At 44.7% G+C, this 13,360-nt stretch overlaps 1 long non-coding RNA gene across 2 annotated transcripts in view; it reads left to right on the forward strand.

The window, feature by feature from the left end:
- C15orf32 (chromosome 15 putative open reading frame 32) overlaps positions 1-13,112 on the forward strand; it is a 29,441-nt gene extending 16,329 nt beyond the window's left edge. For both annotated transcript variants that reach the window (NR_161371.1, NR_161370.1), the window contains exon 3: positions 12,353-13,112. This is a non-coding gene — a long non-coding RNA (chromosome 15 putative open reading frame 32). The remainder of the gene's footprint in view (positions 1-12,352) is intronic.
- The last annotated feature ends 248 nt before the right edge of the window (positions 13,113-13,360 follow it).

Raw genomic sequence — 13,360 nt, forward strand, 5'->3', positions numbered from 1 at the left:
CATTAAAGACTTAAATGTTAGACCTAAAACCATAAAAACCCTAGAAGAAAACCTAGGCAATACCATTCAGGACATAGGCATGGGCAAGGGACTTCATGTCTAAAACACCAGAAGCAATGGCAACAAAAGCCAAAATTGACAAATGGGATCTAATTAAACTAAAGAGCTTCTGCACAGCAAAAGAAACTACCATCAGAGTGAACAGGCAAACTACAGAATGGGAGAAAATTTTTGCAATCTACTCGTCTGACAAAGGGCTAATATCCAGAATCTACAATGAACTCAAACAAATCTACAAGAAAAAAACAAACAGCCCCATCAAAAAGTGGGCGAAGGATATGAACAGACACTTCTCAAAAGAACACATTTATGCAGCCAAAAGACACATGAAAAAATGCTCATCATCACTGGCCGTCAGAGAAATGCAAATCAAAACCACAATGAGATACCATCTCACACCAGTTAGAATGCCGGTCATTAAAAAGTCAGGAAACAACAGGTGCTGGAGAGGATGTGGAGAAACAGGAACACTTTTACACTGTTGGTGGGACTGTAAACTAGTTCAACCATTGTGGAAGTCAGTGTGGTGATTCCTCAGGGATCTAGAACTAGAAATACCATTTGTCCCAGCAATCCCATTACTGGGTATGTACCCAAAGGATTATAAATCATGTTGCTATAAAGACACATGCACACGTATGTTTATTGTGGCACTATTCACAATAGCAAAGACTTGGAACCAAGCCAAATGTCCAACAATGATAGACTGGATTAAGAAAATGTGGCACATATATACCACAGAATACTATGCAGCCATAAAAAAGGATGAGTTCATGTCCTTTGTAGGGACATGGATGAAGCTGGAAACCATCATTCTCAGCAAACTATCACCAAGGACAAAAAAACCAAACACCGCATGTTCTCACTCATAGGTGGGAATTGAACAGTGAGAACACATGGACACAGGAAGGGGAACATCACACTCTGGGGACTGTTGTGGGGTGGGGGGAGCGGGGAGGGACAGCATTAGGAGATATACCTAATGTTAAATGACGAGTTGATGGGTGCAGCACACCAACATGGCACATGTATACATATGTAACTAACCTGCACATTGTGCACATGTACCCTAAAACTTAAAGTATAATAAAAAAAAAAAAATAGAGGCTAGAACAAGTCAAAGATGGCAGCTTGGAAGAACAAAGATTAATCAAGAGAAGATGAAGCATTGAGATTAATCATTTCAATGAAGTAAAATAAAGTATTTCACTCAAAAGATATGACCAAAAATGCTATAAAAAAGAAAACTGCATTCACAGAACAAAAAAGAGCTCTTATAATTAAAAATATAAGAGCAAAAAATAAAATTCCATAGAAGCACTTGAAAAACATTGAAGGATTCTCCCAGAAAACAGGGCAAAAAGACTAACATCAATATAGGAGGTCTATCATCCAAATAATTGTAGTTCCAAAGTAAGTGGAGAAAACTTAAAGGCGAAAAATAAGTATCAAATAAATAACTAAAAAAAATTATTAACAACAGAAATAAATTTTTAATTTTTAAAAAAAAACTCACAAAATGTCCAGCAAAATGGATGAAAATAGACTGATATACCTTTTATCTGGGAATATACCTTTTATCTGGAGAAGTTTTCTGAAGGCAACCAAAAATGCTAGATAAAATATTTAAAATACCTTACAAACATAAAAACACTAATGGAAGTATAATGAATGTCCCATCCAAAACCTAAATGAAAGCAGAAATCTAGGGAGGTAAATTGAGCACTGAGGTCTGTTTTGATAAAAGGCATTGCCAAACTGAGTGAAATTAAGTTTTCCTTTTGTGAGATAACAAACATTACACTACCAGGATAACAGAGGACTAGGAAGAAATCCATTCCATAAAGCTTCCATTTATACCCAGGGGTCTGCAAGGACAGGTGCTCTGGCACTCAACAAAGCAGGGGATAAAAATCAAGAAGTCCTCTTGGAACAATCATGACCAAAAGCTGGCATTTATGTAAATTTTCAGCCCAGATGTTCATCACACGGATAGTCCAAAATAAACTTCCAGCCCTAAATGTAGTTGAAAGTGATCCTGGGCTGCTAAGGCCCCTTGCAAAAGCCAAAGTGAACATTCTCCAGAGGAAGACACTTTCATCCTAGCCCAAAAAAGACTTCTCACAAATAAGTTTTCCAGAAAATGAGCAGCACACAGTCAAAAATAACCAAGCAGTGCTCACTTTGTCAGCATATGTACTGAAATGAAACAATACAGAAAAAAAACAGCATGTTCCTTGTATTAATAAGTTAACATACAGTTACTCTGTCAGCCATCAGTTCTCCTCCTAGGTATTTAATCAAGAGAAATGAAAATATATGTTCTCACAATGACTTGTACATGAACATTCTTAGCAGTGTTATTCCTAATGGCCCCAAACTGGAAACGATCCACATCATTATCAACAGAAGGATGAATAATCAAATTGCAAAATAGCAATAGAATAAAATATTACTCAGCAATAAAAAGGAACAAACTATTAATAGATGAATGAATTTAGATTGTTTTCCATCCTTGAAATCTTTGCTGCTTTCATGCCTGATTGTGAGAGAGTGGAAAAGGAAAGGAAGACTCAATTTTTCTCTCTCCTAGCTCCACCTTCTCCTCCTATGCCTCTAGCCATGGCAGATGCCTCCTCTAACTGGCCACTTAACAATTCCAGTTGTTGGCTTCTGGGAACTCTGAAGACCCTTCAGAGATGCTCTCTGCTAGGGTCTCATTATCTTTCCAGTTGAATTTCTTGGGCAAAGTCCCTTTTAAGGCATCTCCAGGCCAAGTCTCCCCCTCATGACCATTCAACTCAGAGGAAATTCACAACATGGCCTCCCAGCAGCCCCAGTTCTCCCAGCCCTGGTGCCTCAGCCTGAAAAACTGTCTGTAGATCTGAGATGTGTCGGACTCCAGGCCAGACTGTGCCCTCAATTCCATGGATGCCTCTCTAGCTTTCCAGGTGGCCCTTCCAATGGCTTCTCTCACTTCTTTTACCTCCCCTCCCCTACAGTGCATAGATTAGGGCTATGTTTTAATAGCAAATCATACCACATACTGGCAACTCTCTCCCCAAATATCCTCTCTTTCCAGTAGCCAATTTTGATGGTTTTACACTGAGATGGGTGACAGTCTAAGGGTCAGGACACTGGTTTTAGGTCATCCCCATTGGCAAGTCCTGAATAGATGCTTAGCAAGCTTTGAAATGTGAGGGTACGTACCTGCAGTGTTTTAGATTTGGGCCTTAGTCATCTTGCATAAAAGAGAAGCAGAGAGTCTCGTTTTAACATGCTGTTACAGTGACAGTTTATAAAGGTCGGGCAATCTCAGAAGCCAAATGTCTTACAGCACAATCTCTAAGGTCCCAGAAAATAGATATTTGGTAACTTAAGAGCCATGATAATAGCTGATTAAAACTTAAGAGAACTGCAAGAAATGTGAGGCACATCTTGGCAATCTGAAACTAGATGAAATTCCATTATCTGCCCCTTGCCTCTGGTTTACAACCGCATTAAAATCAGAATTCCAGATTAGCAGCGTCTGTGTTTTCATGACATTGAATAGTCTGTTACTAGAACTCTTCCCTAGCCAGGAAGTAAAACTTCACAGCAATGGACAGATGTTTATAGGAGTTTTTTTTACAGAGGCTCTCCTAGTGTGATAGAGTGATGTGGAAGCTGAAATGCCCTTCTTCAGTCATTAAGAGGTTTCCAAATAGTGCCCAGGCTTCTTAAGGTCAATTGCTGAAGTAACTGAATCATAGTTTGAAAAATGGTGTTGCCGGAAGGGACCTTGGACACATTCTATTCTGTTCTGAATTGGATAAGTGGAGAGCACATTCGTTCTCAGACTACATATTCATGGCAAGTATTAATTCATCTCACCACCCTGCCTCTGAGCCTAGCCTCGGCAGTACCCACCAGTGCAAGATGGCATGAGGGATAAAATCTATTTGCCATTACCAGTTCTACCTAGTTTCTTTATTTTATTGGTAAGGAACATCATTAGATCATGTTCCTATCATATCATAGCAGTGTGCTCAAGGTCACGCTGCTGGTCAACAACAAAGACCAGACTCCCAGTTCAGTGCTCTTTCAACCACCCCACCTCGAATTAATGGGAGAAGGAGCCCTTGCCTCTTACTTACCTTTGGCCCATCCCTCCCATCAAGTCCTTTCAAAAACTGAAGGCTTATTCTAGTTGTATATGTGACCAGATGCCATTTTTACCAGAGTATCTCCTGAGCCACAATGCTCCTGCTCTTCCATCCTGAGATCTTCCCCAAAAATATCAAATCAAGTTCAAATGCCTTTGCATGGACTACTTAACTCACAACTTCTAGAGCCTCCAGAGCCATAGCAAAAAGTCAAATATTATGCTTTCAAGTTAAAAGGCCAAACATATTCCTGGAAAAGTGAAAATGGAATACTTACAAATACCATATCATAGAGCACTAAACTTTTGGAGCTGATTACATTTAAGGTCTTGAGTCTAAAAGGAACCAGAGTTAACAAAAACCATCCGTTCAGATGCTCGGCATCTTTCTGAATCTTTTTCTGACTAATTTGCCTACTTCTGTCCAGAATGGAAAGTGCTTGTGGGTTGGAGGTGACCGGGAATGCAGATGTAAAGAAATAGCGCATTCTATTCCTGGATTGCATATTACTATTCCATATGGGGGGGCGAGCCAAAACATATGGTGTTCCATCTGCAGGATGAGGCTGGCTGGGTCCCATGAATGGCTTTTAATGCAAGTAGATTCAGCCTGATTTGGTCTGCCTCCAAAGGAGAAGAAAAGCCAGTGATTCAAATATTGTGTAAAACCATTGAAATTAATGGCACAAAACAAGACTCATTTGTATTCTGCCTAATTTAAAAGATGTCTGCTTGGTGCAAAGTAATGAATTAGTTACGGGGGTGTTTGGACTGAGTATTTGACAGTCTCCTTGAAGGAACAAAATGCCTTTTTTCCATCTTTCAAGCCACCCTCTGTTAAGTTATTTTGAGCCATTCCCCCCAGGAAATCCACTAAGCATTTCGACTTCTTTAACAAGCCAGACTTCAAGGGGTTCACAACACCAGACACAGCTGATCCTGCTTTGACACCCCAAGTCTAGGACGGGAGGGAGAATTCAAGGAGATGCTCTTTTTAAAACTGCCTCATGTCGTTATCTTGTGAGTGGAAGACCAGTTCATGCCCTTCCAGTTAATCTCCAAGGGACACTTGACATCAGCAGGCCCAGCGGGCAGGAGACCTGGCCCTTCCCAAATGAAGAAAGAACTAGAGAATTTGGAGTTAATCCTGGAATGACTGTACTGTGCCTCCATGCCACATGTTGCACTGGAATATCACAAAGGGCACACGTGCAGCCCCAGCTACTGCTCAGTCACTGAACTACACCCTACCCACTCCCGAGTTCCTGGTGATGATGATGGTGATAGAGATGTTGAAAAGCGGTAAGCGCCTGCTCTGTGCCATGCATCACACTACACGTGACGCACCAGTTGTCCGAGTTCATTCTTACAGTCCCTTCATGAGATTGGCACTGTCCTCCCTACTTCACAGATGAAGAAGCTGGAGTTCAAAGAGTAAGCTGTCAAGGTCACGAAGACAGAAAGTGGCAGCCCAGGATATAAACGCCAGTGTTCCTGCCCCACAGCCCAGGCGGAGATTAAAGAGGAAAAGTTGGCATGGCTGTCCCTCTGAACACCCATCTGAGCTGTGGCATCTCTGGATAAGATGGCCTCGCCTGCTGTTTGAAGTACTAGTGAGCCCAAAGTGGGGCTTCCAGGAAAAGCAACTACTCCCCAGGCATGACCCTTATTCAAAGAAGAGGGCAAGGCCCTGCATGGACCTTGACGTCATCATTCCCACCTGGATAGGACCAAGCTTCAAATGATGATCTTCACACTGGTTTTCTTAACATTTTATTACATAACTCCGATCAAGACAGCAGTGATTAAGTCCAAAATGTACAAAAATCCCATACTGCCCATTTTTCCATATGGAGTGAAGGCTTTGTGCTTCTTACGATCCATTCTTGGTTGTCTTAGTTCCATGGTTTTCAAGACTATTTTGGCAACCTATTTTATTTTTCCCCAGATGAAATTAGCAAACAGAATTCCTTCATTTGAAGAAAGCATGGGGTGGGGAGGTGGCGGTGGGGGAGACTCATGGCTCTTCTTCTCCCCATAAGGAGAAACCCTGAAAAGTCTAAGAAATTTAAGGAATCCAACCACCATTGTTGGAAATCCGCTGTTTTAGACCCATTTTTCACCTTCCATCTGTAAATGTCCTGCCAGACTCAGAGTCATGGATGCGTATTTCTTGCTTGGAAGCAGATCTGTGGAAAGCTACCAGGCTTATTGGTTACAAGAGCCATTTTTATAATTGCACACATTAAGCAAACTATACCAACCTAGATAATCACATATGGTGCAGGTCAAGGGGACCCAAGCCTGAATCACTTCCAAGAGAAAGAATTAGTGGAGCCCTTCAGACAGAAGTGGCCTTTCTTTTGTAGCAGACCACAAGGCATGTGCACAGGGACTGTGCCTTGTTTGTTGCTTGATTGGAAGGAGGTCATGGAAGTTGTCACATCCGCTTGTTTTGTGCCTGCTGCCGCTTTCAAGATGGGGATGAAACATATCAGGAAATTAAAAGAAGATGCTATTTAGTTTTCTATTATCTATTCTAAGTAAAACAATAACATATGGATTTCTTGAAAAGGTAAATCAGGGGCATTTTTGAAGATTCTTTCTGTTTGTTTGTTTTCCTTTGGTTTCTTCTCTGTCTTCATTTTGACACCCAGTGTGAGGCTTAGCACAATTTCTTTCTGGTTTCCTGATCTCAGAGCACACACATCAGAGCTCTTCACTGAGGAGCTATTTGTCAGCGGCTGGCCCAGCAGGTGCCAATGTGGGCAAGTTCCAGGGTGCATAAGTAAAGAGCTATGTGAAGTCGAGGATACCCTGCTGGGCTGAGTGTGGTCCCAGGGAGAGGGGCCTGCTTGCCCAGGCTGGGAGCCAGCTCTTGCTTCTAAAAGAAAATTGGCAACAGAGCCCATGTCCTGGAAAACTTACTCTATGCTCAGACATTCATCCCTGCCTCCTCACTCCCTTCCTTGGGAAAAGAGGCCAAACAATGTCGTCCTGCCACATGATTCCTCCCCACCCCCACTCTGCCCTTGCCCCCTGTAAGCCTGTTTTCATCGCCCCCGACCCCAATATACACACTTCCAGATTCGGAACTGGCCCCTCCCCTCTTTCCCACATCCATTCTGCAAACAAGCCCAGCATTCTCCTGCCTGAAGAAAGGGCCTTTAAATCTTTTAACATGTGTGGCTGACATGAATCATAGTCCCCAGTTCTGTGTGTGGGTAATAAGACTTGCCTCCTCTTTCCATAACTCCAGTTTATTTCTATTTGGGGCCATCTCCACAGGGCTAGAAAAAGTCTTCCTCGGTCAATGCAGGATTCTCTCGCCTCCCAGTGACTGCACCTAAACTTTGAGACTTACGTGGTGCCAGTGCAGGGGCACCATCTGGTCCTTGATGTCAGCTGTCAACTTAGACATTTACCAACACCCCCTTCATTCCATTCCTTTATGCCCTGCAGGCTGCTCTCCCCTGCTTCTGTGCCTTGATGGAAGGTTCTTACTCTGCTCTTCTGGGGTTTGGGGTGGGGCTGGCTGTTGTCTCACCCAGATTCCAGGTTCCACTCTTGATGCTTGCCTGGGATTCTTGCCCTTTCCTGAAACACAGTCACCAGTGGTGACTCAGGCAGAGGCTCAGTCAGGCTTCCCCACTCATTGGTTTTGTTTTGTTGGATATGATTTTTTGCTGCTGTGGGATGCAGGATAATCATGGTGGTGTATGGGAGGCAAAGACAGGAATTATCAAGGGACAAACACAGTTAACGCCTTTTAAAAACATGACACCAGTCTCCCAGTGACCACCTTGCAGCAGCCCAAGGTGGTGTGATCTGTTGTCCACCTTCTTTGGAAGGTGAGCCGAGCTTGAGAGGGCTGGAGACAGGGAAGCCCATGGTCATGGTGGGGACAGCACAGGATCCTTCCTTAGAAAGCAGCAGGTGACCTGGAGGAAGAGCAGGTACTTTTGGAAAGAATACCCTCCCCATGCAGGCAGGGCTGGCCTTCCCCAGAGCTCCCGGCCATTTCTGTGCTGAGCTCCTAAGGAGCTTGCCATCCTTACAGCTGCAAGCTCTTTTTACCATGTACTCAGGAGGGGAGCCCCGAGAATTCTAGGGTCCTTCCAGCGACTCAGAGAGTTGAGTTTGCTGCTACTGATGATATAAAGACTTCTAAAATATTTTTTCAGTCATCACCTCTCAGGTATGAGCTTTTCAAAACCACACAGGAGCACCATCTCCCCAGGACTCTGCCTACTAGGAGAGAGAGTGGTAAAGAAGTGGGAGTCATCGAGACGTGAGGTTTGGAGTCAGGAGATCTGGGTTCAAATTCTAGCCATGATTCAATCTGGCAGTGTGATCTGGGCCTCACAGAAGCTCCCGTTGATCTATTTGTAAACTCACAGGTGCCCATAAGACCTGGATGGAAACATTCGTGTGGAATCCCTAGTGTAGTGCCTAGCACACAGTGAGAAAGAGTGACGTGGACAATTCAGCCTGTTCCATCACCACAGGTACCAGCTTCACCTCAGCCCAGTTCCTCAGCCCTCTTTCCAAGCAGGCAAGCCTAGGGGAGGGAGAGGCATGGGCTTCCACTGCCCCCGTCCCCGGGGAAGCCCTGTCTTTCTGGCCTGACCCAGCAGCGCTGATTTTATCCCAGGTTTGTGGAGTGAAGGGAAGGGGATGGGAAGTGTACTGACCACCTGGGGCTGACTCTGGAACCCTCTCTTTCTCCCTACTCCACTTAGCCTATCAGTGGGCTTCTCAGCACGTGTGCTGGGTCACCCAGATGAGCATCAGAGACTGATGCCATTCCTGTGCCAGCCACTCCTCACTGAGCAATGTTACCACCCTTTGCCAAGTCACTGTCCGCTAATGTCTCAGAGTGTCACCTTGGTCCCAGGCTATGGATAAGGAGAGCTACAATACAGGCATCTCTGGCACCGAACGCGGTATTTCTGACGCTCCAGTACGTGAAGCCAAAGACCAGGGAATTTCTTTCCAGAGGCTCTGGGGGAGATGCTGTGGTTTTCCTTGGGGGCAGGCTCCCTCCCTTGCGGTGGGTAGAGGCCACTCTGGTGGTTCTCTTACAGGGCAAGGACTAAGCCCCCATGCAGGTGTCCTGAGGCAGGCATGCTGAGCCTGATGGGCAACTAGATGTGCATGCTGTATGGGGACAGGGACCTCGGGGTATAATCAAGGCAAAGGCGGTCACTCCCACAGGGTCAGGGACGTCTCTCCAAAAAGGATTTTGAGGCTAGCTGATTTTTGCTAGCTCCAACCTGGCCCAGACAAGCCCACAGGGGCTCGGGGGCTCTAGAATAGGGGTGAGGTGTGTGGGAGTGGGGGTGAGGGCATGAGAACACAAAACTGACTCAGTTGTGGAGGGCAAGACCTCATAACTTGGACTCAGGCAAAAGACTGCTATGAGGATGATGGCAGGTGAGAAGCGCTGTGGGCCCACAGCAGAGATGGGCTTTGATGGAAAGGAAACCCCAGTGCCAGTTTTAAGGTCTCATTTTCTTTTGTGTAATTTCTTCAAACCTTGGTGAGGTTTTGTAAACAGATCAGTGTTTGTGCTGGTCCTTTAGAAAACTGGGGGAAGGAAACAACATTACAGCTAGGTAGAAGGAGTAGGTCCAAGGGCTCTGTACCACTGCAGGATGATGAGAGCTAACAATAATATACTACATAGGTTCAAATAGCTAGAAGGAGGATAGCAAACGTTCCCAACACAGACAAATGGTAAATGTTTCAGATGATGGATAAGCTGATTACCCTGATCTGATCACCCACTGTACATTATGTGTACTGAAATATCATTATTTCAATACGTGGGGTACAGTAACGACACCCCATGAATATGTACACTTATTATTTTCCAATTAAAAAATAACATGAAATGAAACTTTTTAAACTAGAAATGAAAAAAGGGAAGAACCAGTGTTTAGCTCTGGGGTCAGAGCAGACTGCTGGATGAGATGGACTCCCCCTCAACTGAAGGCCCCTTTGGTGCTTGTGGGTATCTTCCAGATATGTGTGGAAGCTGGACACTGACTTGTCAAAAAAGTGTCTGATGCAAGTGGTCATTCATTCCCTCCTAGAGGAAAAAATAAGAATGCATATCACTCCATTGATCCACCACGTACCTTTGAGCACCCACTATGTACCAGGCCCTGTGAAAGGGGATCCAAATACAGGGTGAGAAAAACAGGCCTGGATGTTGCCTGGATGAAGCTTCTAATCAAGTGGAACAATAACCTAATCATTCTACAAGCACTGTATTATGGGTCTGGGGAGTCAGCAGAAGAGAAGAACAGAGGGCTAGGAGATACTATAACAAGTGATCTAACTGACAACTTTTATTATTTTATTAGAATATTATATTTTATTATATTTTTAACAGCAGATTATTGTATTAGTTGAACATCAAATGTTATTGGCATTCCGTCAAGACAGCAGCCGACATCTCGTAAATGTGAAGTCCCAGACACTGTTTGGTTTTGCACAATGCTGAAGCATGCTTGCAGAACAGACTTCTGGCTATTCCCCTCAAATACAGCATGGGGCCAAGAGTGGCCCAGAACAGAGGGCTGGGCAGAAGCAGTTAAGAATTACAGGCAGAATTGTGTCCCACCAAAACTCTAACCTAACCCTAACTCCTACCCCACAATATATCAGAATAGAACTGTATTTGGAGACTGAGTCTTTAAAGAGATGGTTAAGGTAAAAATGAAGCCATTAGAGTAGCCCCTAATCCAATCTGACTGGTGACTTTGTAAGAAAGGAGGTTAGGAGGCCAGGTGCAGTGGGTCACGCCTGTAATCCCAGCACTTTGGGAGGCTGAGGCAGGCAGATCACAAGGTCAGGAGTTCAAGACCAGCCTGGCCAATATGGTGAAACCCTGTCTCTGCTAAAAAATACAAAAATTAGCCAGGTGTGGTGGCGGGCACCTGTAGTCCCAGCTACTCGGGAGGCTGAAGCAGGAGAATCACTTGAACCTGGGAGGCAGAGGTTGCAGTGAGCTGAAATCGTGCCACTGTACTCCAGCCTGGGCAACAGAGCGAGACTCCATCTCAAAAAAAAGAAAGGAGATAAGGACATGGGCATGCCCGGGAAAGCCCATGTGGGACACAGGGAGAAGACGGCCTCCTACAAGCCAGGGAGAGAGGGGCCCCAGAAGGAACCAACCCTGCTGATACCGTGATCCCAGACTTGCAGTCTCCAGAACTGAGAGACAATAAATTCCCATTGTTGTGGCTCTCAGACTGCAATGTTATTAAGGCAGCCCCAGCAGACAAATACAGTGGGGACCACCTTCCAGAAGGAGGTAAGGCCCCCACCCAGCAAAGCCCCCTCCTCCTCTGCCTCCCCTGCACCCTCCACTTCTCTGTGCACTGGCCAGAAGGTCAGGCCTCCCCTCCACCCGGAGCAGATGTGGGGCTCTGCCTCTAGAGGCCAAGGCCACTGACGTGCCCAAGGACTGACCGCAGCCCCTAACCTTTCCAATAGTGGCTTTATCCTCCCTGATACCCGATCATCCCTTTCACCAGGCTGACCGTCACCAAAGGACTGAAAGCCGGGTCCACCCTCCCACAAACTCTGCGGGTGCCCATATTGCCTGCCTTCTCCTCTCTTCTTTTAATCACGGAGTGAATACAAAATAACCTTCTGAAAGCCACCAGCAGCAATTGTACATTCCAGCTGCTCTCCCAGAGCAAGGAGCACTGAGCTTGTAGTTTAAAGGAGATTATCTCTCAATTTAATGAGAGTCATGGTGAAAACAGCGTCCCCAGGAAAAGAGAGAAAATGCCACAATAAAAAGAAGAAAAGCATATCCATCCATCCAATCGGCCTCTCTAACACGACCTCATTATGCACCCACTTCTGACATTTGCCAGTGGTGTTAGATTTGAGCTATAAAAACGTCTTTTGAAAGGCAGATTGACATTTGCCATAACCATACCCCCTCCCACCCCCTAAAATTTAAGCACTCACCATGACAACTGAGATTAGGAAAAGGAGAAGAGGGGCAATGACTCAACTCATGGTAGAGGACAGGCTGGTAATTGGGGAGGGGGAGAGGGTGACAGAACATTATGGCTCCATGCTAATGACCTCGTCTTCCGTATCTCGGTGTGATTTCCTTTTTAGGGAACATTTAATAAGATACAGAAACCAGATTTGCTTGAGCTGAATGCTGGATCGCCATGGCAACCTTCCTTTGGAGGTTATCCAAGTCAGGTAGTGACAGCAAAGCTGAGTTAAAGGTCACCCCTGCTGAGAAAGATGGGCATTGATAAAGGATTTTAACAAGACCCAGAGGAGCTGGTATTTGGAAGCTACCTACAGAGGATCGACGAGGCCCTAGGAATGGGTGGCAAACAACATCAGGAAGAGGGGGGCATCCTGCAGGGGCTCCCACCAGAGCCCCGACCTCGCCCTTCAGATCGGGAGCTCCAGCCTTCACCAGAAGCTGAGATTGGAGCTGTTCGTAATTGTTCAATGGAAGGGGGAACAACCATTTTAACCAGGCATCCAGATGGGAAAGAAATACACTTATGCCACTCTACACCCAAGACACGCATTCCTGAAAAGTTCTGAACAAGCCAAATGCTTGCAAATGGAACGGGCTTGACCTTCTTTATCACTCCAGAAATGCTTTATTTAATCTTTTTTCTATTGGAGCATCACTTTAAAACCTCAAAGTTGAGAAGGCTTTTCTTTGCATGATGCTGAAGCCAGAAGCCTTCAAGGAAACAACATAAATATAAATATCTCTGTGGCCAGTCTCTACAAAAATACATAAAAATGAATTTTAAGCATAATAAAATGTGAAAAATTGCCCAACTTTCCTCACAAATGAGTAAAAGCCAATTTAAATGATAAGAAATGAATAAATGCATATTAAAGCAATAATAGTTTTGCTTATCAGTTGAGCAAAGATCTAGAAGTGTAGTAACACCCAGGGTTGATGAGGTATGGGTTGTGGGAAAACAGGAATTCTCATACATTCTTGGTAGGAGTGTAAAGCAGTGCCACTCCACTGGGGGACAATTTGCAAATAGCTATCAAAATAGAAAATGGACCTTCAAATACTTATACACTGCTGGTGAGAGTGTAAATTAGTTCAACCACTGTGAAAAGCAGTTTGGAGATTCT

This window comes from Homo sapiens, chromosome 15 (assembly GCF_000001405.40).
Source record: "Homo sapiens chromosome 15, GRCh38.p14 Primary Assembly".
Lineage (NCBI taxonomy): Eukaryota > Metazoa > Chordata > Mammalia > Primates > Hominidae > Homo > Homo sapiens.